At 55.9% G+C, this 22,179-nt stretch overlaps 1 protein-coding gene across 10 annotated transcripts in view, besides 1 other annotated feature; it reads right to left on the minus strand.

Moving 5' to 3' along the window:
* The window catches only part of TRAPPC9 (trafficking protein particle complex subunit 9), a 730,855-nt gene continuing 710,025 nt past the window's right edge, over positions 1,350 to 22,179 (minus strand). For all 10 annotated transcript variants that reach the window (NR_164662.1, XM_011517326.3, NM_031466.8 and 7 more), the window contains 2 exons: positions 5,604 to 5,827; positions 1,350 to 4,853 (listed from right to left, as the gene is read on the minus strand). Coding sequence is in view for 9 of the 10 variants with exons in the window: in XM_011517326.3 (XP_011515628.1) it covers positions 4,686 to 4,853; positions 5,604 to 5,827 (392 nt within the window). In the remaining variant the exon portion in view is untranslated. The remainder of the gene's footprint in view (positions 4,854 to 5,603; positions 5,828 to 22,179) is intronic.
* Positions 10,348 to 11,094: an enhancer, noted in NCBI's record as "H3K4me1 hESC enhancer chr8:140748966-140749712 (GRCh37/hg19 assembly coordinates)". NCBI's record gives its function as "activates a minimal SCP1, AML or CMV promoter by ChIP-STARR-seq in naive H9 embryonic stem cells {active_cell/tissue: H9 hESC(naive)}" and the evidence as "EXISTENCE:reporter gene assay evidence [ECO:0000049][PMID:30033119]".

The raw sequence follows: 22,179 nt of genomic DNA on the forward strand, positions 1-22,179 counted from the left end.
TGACTTCTTGAATCTGTGGATTTTTATCCTTATGAGTTTTAAGGAGTTCTCAGTCATTGTTTCTTCAATACTGCATTTTCTCCATTTTTTTATCTTTTCCTCCAGGAACTCCAATTAGATATATTTGAGAGTTTCTCACTTTGTCCTCCATGTTTCCTTACATTTCTTTCATATTTTCTGGTCTTTCTGGTTTCTGTTTTTAATAACATCTTCAATTCTACCTTTCATTCACTAGTTCTGTCTTGAACGGAGTTTAATCTGCTCTTTCAGCTATTCATTAAATATTTCACATCAATTCTGTTTTCCAGTTGCAGAAGTTCTGCTTGATTCTTTTATGATATTCTAGCTCTTTACCCATTTTTATCTTTTTCATTTCTTATAACATGTTAAGCACAGTCTATGTCTGATAAGTCCAGTATGATTCCTTTTCAACCCTGCATTTGCTGATTTTGTCTCTCCTAGCTCTCACTCATGATGCATTGCTTCCTTGTGTATTTCATGATTTTCTTTGTTTTTAAACTCTGAAATAATCATTTTCCTCATAGAAACTCTTGCAGGTTTTTGGATAAAAATGAATTCCTCCAGAAAGGATGTGTTTATTTCTTTGTCTGGTACCTGTATTATGGAGTGCTGTCTGTCTTTGAAATTAATTAACAACTTAAGGTTTGGAAGAGGCAGTTAGGGAGTGTAATTTGGGACTGCAAATTCATGGGAGGGTCAATATGGAATCAAAGGGTCAAGATGGAATCAAAGGGTCAAGACAGGGAAGTGTTATATCTACTCTCCTAGTAGGGTGGGAAGAGGATTATTTTTAGTTCATCCTTTACTAAAGGTGTAATCTTTAGGCTCTCAAATTGATGCGGAGCAGTCATCTATTCGATTCCCCAGCCAGTGGGCCCTGAGCTTTGTCATCTTTCCTCCAGTTTTGGAAGGCTGAAGACATTGATACTCCAGCTTTGGCAAAACCCCTCAAAGTGGAAGTTGGCATCAGTGCACAGCTCACCTCCCAGGACTTTGCCTACACACAGGTACTGGGGTGAATATTTCTGACTCTCCTGCCGGGTCATGGATGCACTTACAAATGTGTTTTCAGTAAGAGGCTTAGCCTAGACCCTTAGTCTAGATCTCTAGCCCTTCATGTTGAAAGCCTTTTTTGATCAAAATTTATTGTGTCTTAAGACATTGCTTGAGGCCCCAAGAGCCATGTGGTCACATACATCTCTCTCTCTTCCCTGCTTACTGGGATCAGAAATACCTCTTAACAAGTCATCATTGACAATTTCTTGGCTGGTAGGCTCAGAAGCCCCAAATGATGCTTACATGTTTTGAAACCATCTACAGGTCCGGACTTTGCTTGAATACTTCTATTGACAAAGAGCTCACTCCATCAGCATTTCCTGTCCCATTTCAGCACCTGTGTTAGAAAGTTCTTCCTTACATGCTTCATGTTACCTAATACATTAAGCCATGCAGGGGACTAACGGAGCATAGCAATGTGGCCTGTTAAGGGTTCCAGGAGAAGAATGGAATTTCAGGCACATGGCACAGGATATTTCAGGCACAGGACATGTGGATGGAATTAAAAAGAACAGCAATGGGAAGGCTAGGAGAAGGGACCCAGTATTTATTAAGAAGTTGCTATCATGTGCTAAAAAAAAATCTAGGAGGTTAAATCAAATAAACTGATATGAAAGTGTCCATGAAATAAGTATTTTTATCTCTATTTATTCAGATGAAAAAAAATCAAGGCTTAATTTAAGTAACTTGTCCAAGGTCAAGGAGTTGACAAGTGGCTGAGCTGGAGTTCAGCATCTCAGACATCTTCCTTTGAATCCTTGCCTTCCTTGTGAATTTCAGATGACGGAGCATGACGGCTGCATGATTATGGGGTCACCGGGCCTGTCCTGGCCCTGAGGGACCAAGGATCAGAAGGGCAGAACCAACTCGCTCAGCTAGTGAAGTGCAATGGACATGATCTGTTCCTGGCTTACCCTCCGCTGGCCTTCAGGAGGTTTCTGAATGCACCAGGGGCCTAGAGAAGCAGCAACTGCTGGACTGTATTGCCAGGTAGCCAGTAGCGTGGGGCCCTGGAAGAGGCTGGAGGATACTGCGCTGTCACTGAGACACCTGCCCCAGGTCCTCCATCTCAGCCACTGCCCACAAACACAGCTCCACAGCCAGAAAGACCCAGCCACAGAAATGCCAGCAAACAACACCCCTGGCTCCCCACATCCCACGGTAAAGCTCCAAACGCTTGGAGCACACACAAGGCCTGACTCCAGGTCACCTTCTCTACTGGGACAGAAAGGGTGCCCTGGGGGTGGGGAAGGGCCTGGGGCTGGCAGAGCCAGGCTGTATTTGGGTCATTTTCCAGGAGGCCTGGGTTATTTCTAACACCCCCTCCTCCAAGAAGACAACTTTGCCTCCTGCCCCTTGAGGTTCTTCCTTCTTGTGGCATCCAGCATTTTCTCTGGTAACTGTTGTGGGTATTTTTTGCAGTTTGGGAAACTAAAAAATATAGAAAACTGCAAGAAATAATTACAGTCACCAATATGCTTGCCACTCAGAATCAAACACTGCCAGAGTTTTCCATATTGGCTTTTCTAGGCTTCTATATGCATCTATATCTAATCTGGATCTGTGGCTGGATCTATATCTGTAGCTATGTGTGTACCTGTATCTTGATCTATTGTGCTTTTGAAAGGAAAGTACGTACTCAAGTCCCCGGTGACCAGCACCCTCATGCTGACATCAGATGTCAAATGCAACTCCAGTTCAGGTCACTCTTCTACAGGGGATGTGTATCCTTTCTACCTTTTAAACATGTTGTTATAGACACGTTCTGAGGCATAGAAAATTTATAATTTGGGGGGACATTGTCTACACAAGTGAGGTTGGGCTGAGCCCATCATCCTGCAATGTGTTGTTTCATTCAATGGCGTATTTTTGGGCTCTGTTGAGGTTGACACACATGGATGCTGTTTGTTCCATTCAGAAACAGCCCAGGTGGCCAGGCCCTCAACTACGCTGAGGCATCCTGAACGGAAGGGCTGAAGAGACCGCCCTGGGGTCTCCACCCCCTACTGCAGCCAGACCTTCTGGGGCTGCCTTCCCTGGGGAGCCTCGAGCAGATGCTGAATGAGCTCCAGGAACTGAGGGCCACTGGACACCCGCCCCCACATGCCCCCAGCCCACACCACATCACAGTGTGCTCCCATCATTCACTGAGCGACAACAGGAGGCCACAGATGGAACAAAAAATTTGTTCCTTAGGCCGGAGGCCACAGGGTGACCTTGCTCCCAGCGAGGGAGGTTTGGGCCTGGGACTTCAGGTCCTCAGGAAGTTCCCTCAGCCCCGCAGGCCTCCTGATGCCAACATGACTCTGCCCCATGGGAGGCCAGGGCAGCCACTTCCTGGCTCTGCCTGTTTGGCCAACTGGCCTTTAGGAAGCCCCGCTCTCTGTCCCCCAATACTCCATGGGAGTTTCAGTGCCCAACGGGCACCTGACGAGCCTGGTATCTGCTGGGGACCAAGGGCTGTTTATCCTCCCTGGGACCTGGGGAGCTAAGGGTCAACACAGCCAGAAGCCTGCCCCCAGAACAGGACTCTTGTGGGTAGTGTAGACACACCCCAGCTCTGGCCCTCAAGGGAGATGTGAGCCGTGTGCTTTCTCTCTCCGGTCCTCCCTGAGGAACGCAGGGCCAGCTGCCCACTGTGGCGGCAGCTCGGGCCCAGTCACACTCCTTCACTGGTGATCTCCCTCCCCTGCAGGCCTCCTTCCACCTCCCAGACAAGCTGCTGGTGACCAGATTCCTGTCTCAGCGTTTGCTTATGTGAGATCTCTAACTCAGAACCCGTCCCTTCCTGGGTCCGGCTTCTGCTGGGAAGCCAGCCACCTGAGGTGGGGGCTGACGGGCTGGGTGGGGGCCCCGGACTGCACTGGGCTAGCAGATGCAGGGAGGCAGGGAGGGGGAGGCAGGCCATTTATTGAAGAACTGCTTGCAGACATGGACACACACAGCCATGGTAACCAGACGCCACCCTGGGGCCAGGGAGCACCCAGAAACAGCCCTGGGCTGCCAGCCCAGGCCTGGACATTTGCCCACCACGGGTGGAGGGCCTCTCTTGGCATCAACCATCCACGACCTCCTACGGCACCATCTCTCCTGCCAAGTTGCCCATGGGGGTCTCCAGGAAGAAAACCAGCCTTGGGGGATTCCAAGGCCCAGGGAGGGTGGGAAGCTGCCCACGCCCTCAGGCTGTGCCCAGTCTCATGCTCACCATTTCTTTCTATGGCCAAAGGGAAGTCGCTGGACGAGGGAGGTCCCTCTGCTGGGATGAGCAGCACAGCACGGCTGGGGCCCCAGGTCACAGAAATGGGTGCAGGGATCCTGGGACCTGGGCTGGATGGGCACCCGCTTTGGGATTTCCTCTGCTTCAGCCTGTGTATGGTCCAGGGAACAGTGTAGGAAGGGGCGTGGCATGGGGTGGGGCTGCCATGTCCGGGGCTTCTGCGTAGCCCAGCAAAGATGCTACAGGAGGAACAGGAGGAGAGGGCTGGGAGGGGTCTGGGGGAGGAGGAGGAGATGGGGCTGCAGTGAAGGCCTTGCTCATTGCAGGGGGTGTGGGAGGCCAGGCAGGGTCACCTCTGGCCCTGCAGAAAGAGGGACGGAAGTAGGCGGGCTCAGGCCTGCGCCTCCAGGGCACACACGTGCACACTGGGCAGGCAGAACCAAGAGGGTGGCAGCTCCTTGCTGGTGCTGTCCTCGTGGAACCGGATGTGGAGGAAGAAGTCTCCCGTGTAGAGGAAGAGGAGGGCCCCGAGGCAGGCCGACTGGCCGGACGGCTGCACCTGAGCAGGGAGGAGAAAGACACATCAGTCTGGTCAGCAGCAGGGGCCACCCAAAGCCACCAGGAATCCTGGGAATCTGCCTGGACATAGGTGTTATGGGGGAAGCGAGGGCCGCCCAGGCCTGGCTCCAGTGCCCCCTCCAGCAGGTCACTGCGCCTCTCCGAGCCAGTTTTCATCTTGGAAAGGAGCTGCCAATATTCCCATTCCTGAATTGTTTGGGGGCTCAGGGGGTCAGGAGTGTGGGAGGGTCAGGAGTGTGGGAGGGAGTGAGGGAGAGGTTGGGGCAGAGGGGAATGGAATGTTAGCCTGTGCTGGGGCCTGACAGTGAGGTGCTGAGAGGCAGCTTGAGAGGTAGGAGGTGGGAGGTGGGGGCTGAGGGCGTAGGGCTGGAGCCTTTCCGTGGAAGGAGCGGCAGGCACGGGATGGGTGACAGTGACATCACAGTGATGCCACAGCAGGGTCCAATCATGGAGCAGCCCCCTGTCCTGGGCACAGCTCCCATTCCCTGCACATTTTCCTGCTTCACCAACCCTGAGGGCCTCACTGTCCAGGACTGAGAGACAGGTGAGCTTGTCTAAGTTCCTGCAGTGAATGGGGCAGACTCAGACTCAGTGTGCACACGTGACCACAGAACCCCTGCTGCTATCGTCTGCTGGACATATGCTGACCCCAAAGCCCACCACCCAGGGAAGGGGGGATGATGACCACATGGCCAGAGGCTCCCAGACCGCCTTGCACACCACCACGCACCGCGTCGAGGTAGAAGGTGCTGGAGCCCACGAAGGAGACGGTGTCGTGCAGGTCGTAGTTGTGCACGCCGTTCTGGTGGTCCTGGAAGGGGACCACAGTGAGGGCGAAGGGCCCTACGCTGCGCGGGCTCCGGTTGGTCAGCCGCACCTCCAGGCGCACGGGGTCGCCCACCTGGCAGGCCGCCACAGCCTCGCGGTCACATGGCTGTCCGTCCACCAGCACATCTGTAAGGGACACGAGACTGTCGGGGGCTGGGCTGGCCTGCACGGCCCAGCCGGCCTACCCCACCCACTCGCTGATTCATTCATTTCTTCCCTCCTTCACTCTTCAAGGCTGCCACCCACTCCCTGCCAGGCTGGACACTGGGGACACAGATGTGTGACCAGTTCCTGGTCTCCGGAAGAGGAACCTGGCAAAGACGGGTGTGGTGGCTAGAGCTATGACTCAAGGGGTCTGCACCCCAATGGAGGGGCCTCTGGGAGGGCCTCCTGCCACAGCCCACCTAGAAGGGGAGGAGCTCTCTAGTGAGTCAGGGACTCCTGTCCAGGTGAGAGTCTGACACCGTAGAGGCGAGGGCGTGGAAGGGGCCCTACAGGCCCTAAAGTGCCGCAGGTCAGGGGTCAGGTGAGCTTTGGGGCACAGGCAGGCCCGAGGTCCCTCTCCTCCAGTGGCTGCAAGACCACACACCCCAGGAGGTGGTGTCTTGATCTCGTTCCCCAGGAGGAATGCACAGTGGGCTCCAGCACTCCCTATAAAGTGGCTGCACTGTGTTTTCTTCATTCTGTCAGCCTGTCCAGGGTGCCTGACACACAGCTCAGCACAGAACAGGTGCTCAGGGAAGTGGCACGGTTCTGGGACCCGTGGACCCTGCCAGGCAGGGAGCTGGTCCTGGGCGAAGGAGCATGGATTCATCTCCTCTTCCCTTCCTTGCTTACATGCCCCAAGAGCTTGCAGACAAGGAGGACGCCTCCTAACTGGGCAGCAGCAAGGAAGGAGGCTGAGGTCAGGGTGGGGTGGGGGCGGAGAGAGTGTGCCCTCTCTCAGGGAAGCGAGCTGATGATCAGGGTGGCAGGTTTCATGGTGATCCCCAAAAGATACGTGAGAATGTGACCGTATTGGGGAAGGGGAGTCTTTGAAGATGTAATTAAGTGAAAGGTCCCGATAGGAGCTCATTCTGGATTAGAGTGAGCCCTGTAGTGAGTGACAATGTCCTTATATGGGGCAGAAGAGGAGGAAGCACAGACAGAGACAGAGGCTGAGACTAGAGGATACGGGCAGGAGCCAAGGAGCCCTGGGTGGCTGGAGCCCCTAGGAACTGAAGGAGGGAAGAATAAGCCCCCAGAACCTCCCATGGTCCTGCAGCACCTTGGTCTCAGCCTTCCTGCCTCCAGAACTGAGAACACACATCTGTTGTTCAAGTACCCAGTTTGTGGTCGTTCGCTGTGGCAGCCCTAGCAGGCTAAGATGTGGGGTGGGGGGCCCTTCCTGCTGGGCAAAGGCCACCTGCTGTGGCCCTGTTGTGGAGGTCCTGGAAGTGGGAGGTCCCGCAGCCTGCAATTTGACTTCATGTCATCCAAGTACAAACTGCGTGGCCCTGGGAGCCAGCCTGAGCCCCATGGTCTGCCGTGGCTGATCCTGTGCTGTGGGCTATCAAGGCAGGCAGGTGGAATAAGGATGACATGATGGTGACACGCATAGGGAGAGCAGGTGGGCCACAAGAGCACTCCCACCCCTTCTGCCCCTTAACACAGTCACGGGCATCCTGGGCCGGGCCTGGTGCCAGCACCCTGCAGCGGAGGATCCTGGAAACACCCTGACCCACAGCCCTCTGCCCTTGACCTCTGTTCTGTGGCTGCAAGGAGGGCCCTGTGGGGTGTCCTCACTGCAGCCTGGAGAGGAAGGTCCTCTAAGGACTGGCCTGCCTGGCTCACACGGTCAGGCCAGAGCAGGCAACTTCAGGTGTGGTTGGGCCTCCTGCTGTCCTGCCTGGGTTCCACTGCCCTCACACGCAGGTGAGGAGGAAAGCACCTTCTAAGACCCCAAGCCACTCTTTCGACCCCTGAAGAGGATGGGGGCAGAGGGGACAGGATATTGAAAGTCCCCACACCCAATTCCCAGCGAGTCCTGGCTCAGAGCCTCTAGGCCTGTCTCCTCTGCCATCCAGGGTCCTGGGTTCACAGGGAGGCTGTGGGGGCCTGGCAGGCAGCAGAGGATCTCGTGGCCAAGGCACAAGAAGAAGGACTCCTGGGACATCAGTGCTCTCCATAGCCCGTGTGCCAGAGAGGTTTAAGGGTACGCAATTCTGAAACATTCATGTCCAGTGCGTCCTTATTTTCTCATTTGAGAGAAGTCAGTGCGTGGCTTATGATAAGGAGATGAGGACATGGCCTGTGCTATTAGGGAGCCACCTGAATGTGGCTCGTGTCCACTGTTTTCCAGTGTAAGTGACTGATGCACACCTTTTTATATTGAGCTCTGTCTGAATTCTGAGTTTATGTTCCTGGAACAGTGAGGCAGATGAAATGGGTGGCACAAGAGAAATAAACATTTCTAAGAGAGGCTGATAGGTCAGACTGCCCTCCAGGAAGGCTGGAGGCCTGTGCCCATTCCCCATCCTCAGGGCTGGAGCTGAAAGGGGCTGCAGAAACCATTTGGTCCCATTCATTCATTCCAAGATTTATTAGCTGGCTGCTGGCCCTTGCAGCCAGTGTGATGAGCATGACCCACTGTTGAGCAAGCTCACAATCCAGTGGGAGAAGGAACGCTCAGCCAAGAGCTGGGGCATGCCAAGCCTCTGCATGACACAGCACTCAACAGGTGCCCACTATAGGGCCCAGGGAAGTAGCCCTTCACTCTGTGCCACTGTGGGGATGGCATCAGGGAAGGCTTCCTGGAGGAAAGGACACCTTTCTCTATTCTAGTGTTTTTCAAGGCTATGATTTGCCCTCAAATCCCAGCTTTTGCTGCATCCTACACTTCTGGATGTGCAGGGCCACCTGCACTGAGTCTGACCAGGCTGGGATAAACCTGGGGGTCCTGAGGCCCTGCTCACTGGGCTATGTATAGTGCCCCTGAGTACTTCCAGCAGTGCCTGATGTGCAGCAGACAGCATCAAGACGGGCTCTTTGTTCTCCCAGCTGGTCTGTCCTGCTGAGTCCAGAAGGTAGGACCAGAAGGACCTGAGCTTGAGCGCTTCTATCTATGGGACCCCAGGGTATGTCACTACACCTCCTGGGCCTCCGTTTCCTCTTCTGTAACATGGAGCCAATTCTAATGCTAACAGTTGTGACAAGTTCATATTCTTGCTGTGAGGAGCTCAGTCACAGCACGTCCCAGTACCCATGAGCATTTGAGGGACTTTGTCTTGAGGCCCAGTGCTGTTGGGGCAGCGGCTTTCGTCTCCAGCCTTGGTTACCTGTCTGTGCTGTGCAACCCAGCACAGGGAGGCTCCAATCCATCACCAGCCCTTCTCCCTCCTCTACCTCTGTGCCACCCAAGCCAGGCCTCAGTAAATGTTTCTTGAACAGTGAACCGAACCAGGCGCGGTCTGAGCCTCTTGAATAAAAGGTGGGGAGATGGAGAGAGCAGATGGGGCAGCCTGGTTGCTGGTTCCATTAAGGGAAAGATACGATTATGTGCAAATCAGTGAAGGGTAGTTGGCTCAGTACCACCCTGCCCTGTTTTTTTTTTTTGTTTTGTTTTGTTTTTTTGCAGAGAACTGTGTGGGCTGCTGGGGCAGCAGAGGACTGGTCTGTGGGCTCCTGGGCAGAGCCACGCTGGCCTGCCTGTTTAACCCTTCCTAGCCCCAGCTCTGTACAACCCCTTGGGAAGAGAAAGCTGATGAAGGCTTGGAGCCAGCTGTCCCTGTGAACACTGCTGGTGGAACCTTTCTTTGCTACTTTCTAAGAAGAGGGGAAGGAATGTGTGGCACTTAGGTGTGAGGCCAGGGTGGTAGGGGTTGGCAGGGGTTGTGGGCAGAGCCACACCCTGTCGGAGCAGGAGGCCAGGCTGCAGTCCCAACTTTGCCTCTGACTTCCCTTCACCCTGGGAAAGGCCGTTTGACAACTGGTGCCCCCTCCATCTCATCTATGAAACTGGGATGATGATCTTGACCTCCCAGACTGGGGGCAGGGGTGAAGAGCAGAGAGGACCCAGCCAGAGCGAGCACTCCTGCCACAGGCTCTCCTGTGTGGCCAGCATTGCAGAAGGAGGGCAGTGCTCTGGAATGGCAGGCAGCACCTGTCTTGCTCTCTGCTCTGTCCCTGCTCCCAGGGTGACCAACTATCCCAGTTTGCCCAGGGCTAGTTTGGCTTTTAGCCTGCATTGCAGGAAACCCTCAGTGCCAGGCAAACTGGGACGGTGGGTCACATTACCCCGAGGCCTGGCATCCACAATGACTGCCGACCAAATTAATGCATTTCTGTGCTCAGCAAGCAGCCGTTTCCTTCCTTGCTCCACAGCTGGGGCAGCCCCTACAGCTCCGGCAGCTCAGATCCAGGCATACAGGCACCAAATCCCCTGACGCTGACTCTTCCCCATGACACAGAGGAAAAGCAAACCTTCCTATGACGGGGCAGAGCAGAGGTCTGTTTTTGTCCGAGAGCATTAAGCTTCCTGAATTCAAAAGGATGTCCTGGTCTCCCCTGGGACCCCCAGGGTACAGCTGAGGAAATGTGGTGGAAACGGGTCTAATGACCGTGATGATGATGGCGGCGATGCTCGCAGCTGCCTTGCAATGAGAACATGTGACCGCATGGCAGGGCTGTGCCCGGGTAGGATTCGTGACCCCGTCAGCAGCAACACCGGCCACATCCATTGTTGCCAATTCGCTTCTCTGACTCTGGGCCCGAACAAGCGGTGTCCAGTCCTGGGGGATCAGAGGAAATGGGCTCATTTCTGCAGGGCCCCACTCTCCACAGCCACCCTGCTGAGCAGGGCTGCAAGGAGCATATAAGAGGAGAGAAGAGAAGCCAGGGCCACCGTCCATTACAAGATGGCTTCCCCGACTCCAACCAGGACGGACCTGGGATAAATAATGGGAAAAATTTCTCAAAGACAAGCTGCTTTGGAGCAGTTTCTAAACTGCCGCTGGGGGACAGGAAGGAACCACACGTGAAAGCGCGGGTGCTGCTGGGAGCTCACCCCGTCTGTGGCCCGCGCAGGGGCTGGCTCTACTCCTGGCTCCCCCAGCATTCGGCTTCTATCGGCGCTCCCCAGGCAGGCCCTGAGGGACAGAGCGGGCAGCCCAGGGGCCACGCAGCCTGCCTGTCAGCTTCAGCTGAGAAGAGTGGGTGCCTCCTGGGGGACCCGCTGCTCAATCACAAGGTGAGCCCTAGAACCGGGACCCAGTTCTGTGACCGCAGCAGCCCGGCCGGCTGGTCCCCAGGAGGTGGGCAGGGATGCCAGCGCATGTGTCCCCTCCCTCGGCCGCTCCTCACCACCCCGCAGAGCACCTTCCCACAGCCTTCAGGCGGGGGTCATCAGCCCTCCCCCCCCCCCCACGGAAAACCCTGAGTCTGGTGTCTGGGTGTGTAGGGTCCAGTTTTCTCCCACTGTTCTCTGGGGCTGGCCCCCGTCGGGCTTCCTGCCACCCTCCATTTCCTGGTCCACCAAATGAGCCGCCTCTTGGCAGGACTGGCTCCTCCTTCCCTCTCCCAGGCGGGATGGGGCGGGATTTGCACAGCTGCTTGTCGAGGAGCTGTTAGCAGCACAGGCCCAGGCTCCTGATTGGCTGGAGAACGGACTGTCTTGGGTTTGAGTTACTTCTCTGTGAATCTCCACCTCTCTGACGCCCCAGTCTTTAGGTGGGGTAGAAGGAGACCACGTCAAGTGGGGTTTTGTTAGGGGCCGCTTGATCCTAACCACCATGGCTCCCAACCTTCCCTGAGGAGGGGAGGATCTGCAGGAGCAGCGGAGGAGAACTAGGACGGGGATGCTTTGCATTTCGACAGCTTCTCCAGGGCCCTTCCTCTCCCGCGGGCTGGCTGTGAACACTGACGAAGCTCTGTGCCGGATGCAATTGAGAGGAAGGACGCAGCAGGGGCAGGTCCTTCCAGCTTCTCCCAAGCCAGGTGCCAGGCAGGCAGTTTCAGCCCACTCTGACCACGAGGGAGGCAGACCCAGGGCCTCTGGGGATGTTGGGTCCCCTTAGGCCTTTTTGCCTGGACCTCGAATGCCCTATCCCAGGGAAGCAGCAGCCTAGGGAGGGGAAGGGGCTCCTGTGCCCACGGCAGCCCGTGGTAGGGGGGTCATGAGCTGAGAGACAGAATGACTAAAGGTCGAAACATGCCTAGCAAAGCCTCCTGAATCCCCAGGACTTCCTTCGCAACAGAAGGGGTCATGTGGTTGACAAAATAATGTGCCCCCTCCACTTGCCCATGTCCCAGTCCCGGGAGCCTGTATGTCCTCTCCCATGGCAGAAGGAGCTTAGCAGATGTGATGAAACGGAGGTCCTGGAGAAAGGGAGAAGACCCTGGGCCATCGGAGTAGGCCCAATGGCGTCAGGAGAGTCCTTACAAGGCAAGAAGGGAGGCAGGAGAGGGGCACACTTCGCTGCTGGCTATGAAGACGGGGGAAGGCGCACAGGGTGCAGGCACCCCAGGAGCTGGAGAATGCCAGCCCAGGGAGGAAGGTAGCCCGCAACACCGATCAGACTCTGGACCCCAGAACCACACGGCGGGGTTATGTGCTGTTTAAGCCACTAACCTTGTGGTCACTTGTGAGAGCAGCTGGTGAGCCCAACACAGGTAGGGGTCTGAGGACACACACAGAGCCCCCAAGGGGCCCCAGTCAGCCTCAGGGCCACCACTTCCCAGGCCACTAGGGGAGACCCAGCCTGGGCGCAGAGCTGGTCCTGGGGCAGACGGCACTGGGTAGGGTGCACAGCTCTCTGAGCCTCGGTTTCCTCATTTGGAATGGTCGCACCTTCCTCTCAGGGATGTGGAGTGAGTGTCAGATCCTCTATGAGAGGTGCCAGACAGAACAAGGTGTTCTAGGAATGTCGGCTCCTGCCCGCCCCCAGCTTCTGAAACCCAACGCGCCCCAGGCTAAGATCACATCATTCATTTATCTAACAAGCACTGGAGAGGCCCTGAGCCTCAGGCCCGTGCTCCTCTGGGCAACCCTGACATCTCGACCGGGCACCACGGGGTCTCACCCTCCACTTTCTCCTCCTGCCCCTCTTCCCCATGCCTTCCCCAGTAGAGTGGCTCCACCACCGGCAGCAGCTCAAGCTGGGTCCTCTCCTCCCGGACACCCAGCCCCAGCCTGGGAAACGTCCGGTGCCCATGCAGTTGGGCCTCTGCTCAGCCTCCACCCGCCCCGCCCTGGCTGGCCGCTCCCTCTCCTTTCTGCACGACCACAGCTCTAGTGTGAGACGCTGGTAGGTAGTGTCACTTCCATGCTCCTCGCCTGCCTGGCCCGTGGCTTCTGTTTATGCTCAGAATAAAAGAAAGTCTTGATGAAATTCTCACCCCAACTCTGGTCTCCTCGGCCCTACGAGTTTCCTCCCAGAGCCCGTCTCCCGGGCTGTGTCCTCCCCGCCACTGCTCCCTGGCCATCCTGTCCCTCCAGCACATCCTTCCTGTCCCAGAGCCTCTGCACCTGCCATCCTGGCCTCCCTACCAGCTCCATCCTGACGGTCAGGACTTGGCTCTGCCAGAAAGGTTGTCCCTGACCACACAGTAGAGGGCTTCCTGCCCCTGCCAGCCACTCGGCCACATTCATGTATTTTCTCATGGCCCTGGCATCTGATCTGAAGCGACCTTGTTTATCGATTTGTTTCATTGTTAACTACCCGTGTTCCTCCTCGTCAGGAAGCTCTAGGAACACTGGCACTTGGCCGTCTCATTCACCGTGGTGTCCCCAATACCCAGCACAGGCAGGCAAATGGCAGACACAAGTTCCATTTCATATCTGCTGGACACATAGATGGATGAGTGAGTGAGTGAATACTGGGCTTTGGGGTCAGGTACCCAGGTTTGAACGCTGGCCCCACCACCGACTGGCTGTGCCCTGCCCCATTTAAACCCCTAGTGCACCATTTGGCACATGAGGGACCAGGGCCATGTCCCAGAAGTGCGTCCTGAATGAGGACTCTAGGCCGAGCTACCATGCTCCGCTCTGGGCCCACAGATGACTTATGCAGGAGAACCTCATGTTGTAAGGAATCTCCTGGGAGCCAATCAGCCTCCTTCCTCAAGGCGTCACATCGGCACCGGCCCCCTCTTCCCTCCTGTCCCTGGCCCTGCTTCTGTTTCACATTTAATACCAGCCAGAGTTACGGACATAATTGTGTCTGGCCCAGAATTCCTCCTGAAGTCCCTGCTATAGCACGTCCAGGCTCTGGTAGAAACACGGGCTATAAGTAAAGGCTGTGCCCGCCAGGGAGGGGCTTGGCAGGGCACAGAGAAAGGAAGCCATTGGCCAGCCTGTGCATGGGGCCAGGGGGCCACCGTGGGGCTGAGAACGAGGCAATGTGCGCATGCTGGGCAGGGGGAGGCAGGCTGGTCGAGGCTCACAGGTGGTAAAGTGTGTCTCACTCAGCGCCCACATCCTCCTAAGAGGTCAGAGAGCAGGTGCAGCTTTATTTGCAGAAGCACACTGAGGTGTAGAGAGGTGACAGGAGCTGCCTGGGCCCCATGCGGGCCCTGCGGAAGCAGGTCCGGGAGCCCTGTCCTGGAGAGTGGTAGGCAGGGGAGGCAGTTCCAGTGGTGATGTTCTACAGGATAAGGCCCACACGGGCGGTGAGCTCAGGTGCTCCATGGGGACGGGGCCCCAACTGGAGCCATCCTGGGGCAGACCCGTCCTTCGGCCTCTCCACCTCCGGCTGTCGTGACCCGTGCAGGACTCAGGCTCCTGGAGGGCAGATGTGGTGCTGGTGCAGGCCTTCCAGTCTGGGCTCTGCCAAACACTGCTTCCACTGTGGTCTGGCTGTGTCAGGAGCAGCACCAGGAGGGGTGAATCCAGGGAGATGCAGAGGCCCAGCCCTGGGCAGCTGCCATTCCCATTTGATTCCACAGCTTGGGACTCCAGCCAGAGGTTTCTGTGACCCCAATGAGCCCCAAGAGGAGGGTGGAGGATGTGGGGGAAGAGGCCTGCCCTACCTGCACCCACGGCCTCCCCCTCCTCCAGCCTGCCCCAGCAGGGCACTCCCCCTTGGGCGTGACACTCCCCATTGGGCATGATGCTCCCCCTGGGTGTGAAGCTCCCCCCGGGCGTGATGCCCCCTCCCCTGGGCGTGGCACTCCTCCTTGGTGCTCCTCTGGTTGTCAACAATGCCTGACTTCTTGAGCACTCGCTGTCTTCCAGGCCCAGGGCTCAGCGCTCTGTAGGTATCCCCTAATTCAGTCCTTGGAGCAGCCCCAGTAGGAGGGCTGACCCTTGTTCCATTTGACAGATGACGCTCTTGAGGTGGCGAGTGGCTCAGGAGCTGGTCCCAGGTGAACAGCAGTAGGTGCTGAGCCCCCACTGGATTCCTGGGCTCTGGACTTGGTCTGGTTTTGTTGTTTTTGTTGTTGTTGTTTTCCAGTAGCTTTATCAAGATAAAAGTCACATACCACACAATTCACCCATTTAAAGTGTACAATTCAGTGGTTCGTAGTATATTCAGATATGTGCGACCACAGCCCGTTTTCGAACATCTCCATCACCTTCAAAAGAAACCCTGTACCCTTTTAGCCATCACTGCCCTGCCCCCCAGACCCACTCCACCCCCAGCCCTGGGCAACCCAGTAATCTCCTTTCCCGCACCATACATTTCCCTACTCTGACTCACATATAAACAGAAGCGGAGGGCAGTGAGCTCCGGCGCCTGGCTTCCTTCGCAGAGCATGATGTCTCTAAGGCTCACCCGTGCTGCAGCATGGGTCAGTGCTGCGTTCTTTCTCATGGCGGGACAATACTCCATGTCTGGATGGGGCACATTTTGTTCATATAGCATCCACCAAGGGACACATGGGCTGTTTCCACCTTTGGCTGTGATGAGTGGTGCTGCTGTGCACATTTATGGAGAAGATTTTGTGTGGACACAGGTTATTATTTCTCATGGGTGTACACCTGACAGCAGACTTGCTGGGTCAAATGGCAACTCTGTCTAATGGTTTCAGGAAGCACCAGACTGTTTTCCAAGGCGGCTGCACCCCCATTCCCAGCGGCGGTGCGGGAGAGGCCTGACTGCTCCACGCCTTCTATGGCACTGTGGTTGCCTGGCTCTGGTTCACCCATCCTGGTGGAGGTGAAGTAGCATCTTGCTGCGGTTCTCACGTGCGTTCTCCCGATCTACCCCCAACCGGCCATGCTGCCGGCGCTCACTGCTCCCTGTGCAGACAGCCCAGCTTCGCCCCACCAGCCTGGGACAGCTGTTTGGAATGGCCCTTCTGTGCAGTCCTCTTTGCTTGCAACGTCCATAAGCCATGAGAACCCTCCAGAACTCCAAGCCCTTGACCTCCATATTTCAGGAGTTTCTCACATTTTGGAGCCTGGGGCCAGACAGCAGGCCAGGGCTGAAGCTGGAAGTCTCTTCCCTCAAGCACAGCACAACACAACATGCAATCAGGGACCAGGCAAGTCAGGGGCCACCAGAGAGGGTCAGGACCCAAACTTTGGGCAAGCTATGGACCCAGAACACGGCCACGGGCAGAGGCAGGATGGACTCAGGAGTTAGGGAGCCAGGAGATGGGGCCAGATGGAGACCAGACCTTCAGGACATGAGGACCAGCAGGTCAGATGGGCCCAGCATGCACGGTTGCTTTCAACTCTGATCTGCAGGCTGGGTGGGGGTAGGCAGCTGGCAGACACTCCTGGCACCCAGGAAACATTCACTGAAATGCTGCATCTGTGGGAGAAGAACAGCCGCCACCTGTGGGCTCAGGTTCAGTGTACAGCAGAGATTTCAAACCACAGTGGACTTTTCAAGAGACCTGCCTGACTGCACCCTAGAGAGGCGGGTTTCCTCTGTCTAGGGTGGTGCTGAGCATGAGTTTCTGCCGTGCATGTGTCCAGGGTTGCAGGCCCAATGCACAAGCCATGTCTGCCTCACTCAGAGTGGGCTGAGAGGAGCAGGGGAGGAGAAAATGTGGAAGGTGGTGGGGTGAGGCTACCGTGGGCTTCTTAGGTGGTTGAAGGAAACAGGTAAAATGTCTGCAGGGCCCAGAGTCCTGTGTAAATTACAGTGACAGCGGAATGATCTGTGGATTTCTTGTCCAACTGGCTCGTCCAACAATCTGTTCACTTGTCCTTCAGGGCATGTCCCCTCAAGGCTGGCTGCTGAAGGTTTATTTTTCCTCCAGAGCTCAAACTCCCAGCGACGCCTCCCCGACCTGGCCCCACAACTCTACTCTCCAACCTTTTGCGCTGGCGAGAAACAGGGGACTAAGTAGACTTCAGTTGCAAATATCTAATTTGGGATTTAAAAATGTAAAGACAAAAACAATGCAGTGGAAATACATGACTTGAAGACCAAGGAACAAAGTGAGTCAAGTTTTTAAGGCTCTATCCAGCCTGCCTCAGCTATAATATATTTAACTTTTAAATTTCAGAAGACACACATTTTTCTAGTTGACATAAATCTTGGGCGGTCCTAAATTTTAGAGCCAAATTTGATTCAGGTAAGGTTTGGCTTCAGAATTAATCAAGGAGTTTTCTCCCTCTTTAGATGAAGCAAAATAAGTTCTATGGAGAAATAAAATAGCCAAGACCCGAGATGAGAGAGGACTGCAAAGCCAAGGTTTCCTGCCCTTCACCAACACCGGGCCAGCTGTCCTGTGGGGTGGGGGGCAGGCAGGCACATCCCATATAAAACCCTCTCATTTCCAATTATCTAACATAACTGGTGAACTTTCTCTACTGCTAATGTGGTTGGTTGCTAGCTACTCAATGCCCCCCAGTCCAGCATGTTTTCCCTCTTTATTGATGACAGCCAAGTAACTGACCTTTTCACTTTGGCTGTTAGGAAGCTCAGAACTAAACATGAATCCACCTAAAGCACCATGTTGGCCTTCAGTGACCGTACACTCACAGCCACTGCCACACAAGTGCACTCACAGGTACACGCGAACGTGCACTCACTGCCACCGCCACACACGTTCACTCACAGGTACGCATGAACACGCACTCACAGCCTCTCCTGCACAACTGCTCTTCCAAGTCTTGACCAACTATGCCAATATGGTTTCCCTTGGTCCAGACCTTCTGCATTTTATTTCAACTCTTTATTGTATATCCAGAGAGAGTTTGGAAAAGAAGCGAGAAGCGTGGATAATGGCCAGGAAATGGGGGTGACGGTGCTGTGACAGAGTGTCTAGTCAAAGAGGCAGTGCACAGCCTGGGAGGTATGTGTCAAATCACACAGTCCCCACCCCTCCCCACCCCTGCTCCTTTCCACCACCCCTTCCCCGCTTCCAGACCCTGACTGCTGGGAAGGGGCCTTCTCTCAGGGTGCTGGAGCCCAAGGAAAGCTCAGACAGGGAGACAGAGGCTGGGTGACAGAGACGGAAGAAGGACTTGCTCCGTCTCCGTGTCCCAGAGCACTGCTCTCCTAGGAGCCGAGGCAGGCCCAGCTCTGCACACTCCAGCTGGCTACACTCCCGCTGACCCCATGGACACAGAACACAGGCTCTTTCCCCCCATCAGCGACTGTCAGGGCACGCACTTCATGAAGCTGGAGCTTCGCTCTCAATCCACCAAATGGCATGCGTTTTTAACAGTTACTGAGGGAGCTAATTAGTTCATAAACCAGGACGCCTCTTCCCTGGCATCCTGGGAGGGCGGTGGTGCTGGCCCCGCATGTGTAATTACCCTCAAGTCGAGAACAGCTCCTGAGGAGCTGTTGGGCTCTCTTGGGTAAATAATTTACTTTTACAACTTTTCATTAAAGATTAAAGGGAATTAAATTAAAATTAGGGCAAAATGAAGTTGGAGAGGAGACCTGTACAGCTTGGAGTTCTCTCATCGGAGGCTCTCTGCTTCCTGAGCTCACCCACCCTCCATCCAGGGATGCCAGGGCCCCTGTGGAGGGGAGACCCCGGGGATGTGCAGGAGGTGAGCTCCGGAGAGGAGAAGGACTTCCCTTCCAGGTAGGCCTCCTGATTACACCCTGCATGGCCAGGACCTGCTGGGGATGGTGGCCGTGGCTGCCTTGAGGACGGGGTGAAACACCGTCACCAACACAACACACTGAGGCCAGGGTCTCCCAGCCCATGGACACCCTCCACGGATACCAGGCCAGGATCCTCGGGTCGAAGGCTTTATGGCTTGGATGTGAGATGATGGTTGGAGCTTAGGTGCTGACTCAGGGGCCTGGGTGAGCCCCTTCGGAAGCCAGAGCTTCTGCTTCCTTGTCTAAAAAAGGGAAAGGTGGTGCGTGGAGTGAAGGAGAGGGCTGAGCTCTGATCCTGGCCAGAGAGAAATGCCCAATGAACAGAGGGGTGTGAATCACTGGTGCCTGGCTCCCACACCCAGGAGAGCTGAGAAAGGAGTTGTGGGTTAATCCAGGCCATGCACTTGCAGCGGCTCCAGCTCAGCTCCGCCTTCAGCACGCTCAAAGCGATTGGTAGGACAGCGGGTGAGTCGGGGTGGGCTGTGCACAGAGAGCTGAGCCTGAACACAGGCCAGGTCGTCCTAGCAGGGGCAGGACATGGGCTGCTGAAGGAAACCAGTCCTCCTTCAGGCCCAGCAGGCTCTGGGATTTGCTGCCCTGGCTGGAGCCTCCCTTGGGGACAAACAGAGCAGGACAGGGAGGCAAAGGGGAAGCCAGGGCCTCTGGATGGAGCGGGCAGTTGGGGGACCAGGGACTGGGCTCGCCGCCTTGCTACTATGTGCCTTTTGGCCAAGACTTCACCTCTCTGAGCTCAAATGTACAAATCTATAGCACATGGGTAAACTGAGTCGGTGGGCAGCAGCCCGCCTCCACGTGCCCATGGCGAGCACGCTGGCACTGCTTCACTGAACATTCTCAGTGACATTCCGAGAGGCATCGTCCTGCTCACTTGATGGACAAGCCTGTTTTGGTTTAAAGAGACAGAGTCAGCACTTCAACCCAGGTCTCCCTGGCACCAAGGCCAGTGTGCACCTTCACTCCACGGCTCTGTGATCAGGGTGGCATCTGCTGCCATCCACAGTGCCCCTTGCCCTCTGTGCTGGGCTCCTGCAATCGCCGCCGGTGGCACCTCAGCTCTGTGTCTCAAGGCCCTGCACATCTGCCCCCTCCGTGAGGCAGTTCCCTGCTCTCTCATGGAATACTCGACCTCGAGAAGGTTCTGGTTGCAGAGGCTGTCTGGGAAGCCATCGCGTTTCCTCCTGGGCACAGACTGCAGCCCCTCTCCAAGGGAGTGAGTTGGAAACACAAGATCAAGTCCAGACCAAGGGGACTTAGAGGGAAAGGACAAACCTGGACCGTAAACACATCCATCCTATAGTCCCCCATCTCCAGGCTGAGAGGAGAAACTGAAGAAACTGAGGGCTGGAGGAGGGAGGAGCTGCAAGATAGGCGGGCTATGGGACCAACAGGTCCACGGGGTAGGGGAGCCCCTAGGGGTGGGGCCCCAGGTGGGTAGAGCCTCAGGGTAGGCAGGGACATACAGGGGACGAAGACACGAGGTGGTCAGAGCCAGAACACTGTGGAGCCTGGGTCCCCAGGTGAGCGCCAAAAAGCTGCCTGCACCAAGAACACCATGAGATATAAACATAATGAGGCTGATGTGTTAGGTCCCTGGAATTTGGGGCTGTTTGTTACAGCATTTAGCTGTGACATTTACAGGCCACCAGAGCTCATTTAACCAAGCCCTCCCTTTCAGGAGGAAGCACCAGGGCCCCCATGCGCTGCTGTGCCCACGGCCACATTGGGCATCCATGGCAGACAGGCACTGGGCCTCTAGTCCCTTCTCTCTCAACACAGGCAAGCTGTGTTTTGCACCAGGAACGCCTTGGCTCATGGAGACAATGACTATATTAAGTGCTTCCCCTTCAACCTTCTCTTTTTGGACAAGCACTTTAGACAACTGAAGATAAACCAGAAGAAAAAGAAACGGGGAAAAAAATGGAAAATATGCCTGCTGGCTGGAAGCATTATGCAAAGACAGCTTTCTGAGAAGAGCAGAGAATTTAAAATGACTCCTCTGTCCCCAAGCAATGTCTCTACCTTTTCAATCTCTCATTTTTCATCTTCTCTCAAGCCTGTCTAAATAAAGCAAAGACTCTCGCCACCCAGGCAGGCCCCCCGCCCCCACCGCTCTGTGTGGCTCTGTGTTGAGTCCTTGTCCTCATCACACAATGCCAACCCAGTCTCAGACTTTCTCATCTGCCAATCAGATCATACACGTGGGCACGGTCAGCACCCAGGGGGTTTGGAGGAATCATGAGACCCTTTCCTAGAGGAGGAAGCTGAGGCCTGGAAGGGAAGGAGTACAGGAGGGTCAGAGCAGATGTGAGGGTTGTGCAGGTGTCAGAGTGGGTGTGGAGGTGTCCAGGGGTCAGAGCAGGTGTGGGGGCTGTGCAGGGGTCAGAGCAGGTGGGAGGTGTGCAGGATCAGAGAAGATGCAGGGGGTACACACAGCAGGAGTCAGAGCAGGTAGGGGGGGCGTACAGGGGTCAGAGTGGGTGTGGGGGTGTCCCGGGGTCAGAGCAGGTGGGGAGGTGTGCAGGGATCAGAGAAGATGCAGGGGGTATACACAGCAGGTGTCACAGCAGGTTGGGGGGGCATACAGGGGTCAGAGTGGGTGTGGGGGGTGTCCCGGGGTCAGAGCAGGTGGGAGGTGTGCAGGGATCAGAGAAGATGCAGGGGGTATACACAGCAGGTGTCAGAGCAGGTAGGGGGGCGTACAGGGGTCAGAGTGGGTGTGGGGGTGTCCCGGGGTCAGAGCAGGTGGGGAGGTGTGCAGGGATCAGAGAAGATGCAGGGGTTACACACAGCAGGTGTCAGAGCAGGTAGGGGGGGCATACAGGGGTCAGAGTGGGTGTGAGGGTGTCCCGGGGTCAGAGCAGGTGGGAGGTGTGCAGGGATCAGAGAAGATGCAGGGGGTATACACAGCAAGTGTCACAGCAGGTTGGGGGGGCGTACAGGGGTCAGAGTGGGTGTGGGGGTGTCCCGGGGTCAGAGCAGGTGGGGAGGTGTGCAGGGATCAGAGAAGATGCAGGGGGTATACACAGCAGGTGTCACAGCAGGTTGGGGGGGCGTACAGGGGTCAGAGTGGGTGTGGGGGTGTCCCGGGGTCAGAGCAGGTGGGAGGTGTACAGGGATCAGAGAAGATGCAGGGGGTATACACAGCAGGTGTCAGAGCAGGTAGGGGGGGCATACAGGGGTCAGAGTGGGTGTGAGGGTGTCCTGGGGTCAGAGCAGGTGGGAGGTGTGCAGGGATCAGAGAAGATGCAGGGGGTACACACAGCAGGAGTCAGAGCAGGTAGGGGGGCGTACAGGGGTCAGAGCAGGTGTGGGGGCTGTGCAGGGGTCAGAGCAGGTGGGGAGGTGTGCAGGGATCAGAGAAGATGCAGGGGGTACACACAGCAGGTGTCAGAGCAGGTAGGGGGGGCATACAGGGGTCAGAGTGGGTGTGAGGGTGTGCAGGGGTCAGAGCGGGTGTGT

Source organism: Homo sapiens, chromosome 8, assembly GCF_000001405.40.
Source record: "Homo sapiens chromosome 8, GRCh38.p14 Primary Assembly".
NCBI lineage: Eukaryota > Metazoa > Chordata > Mammalia > Primates > Hominidae > Homo > Homo sapiens.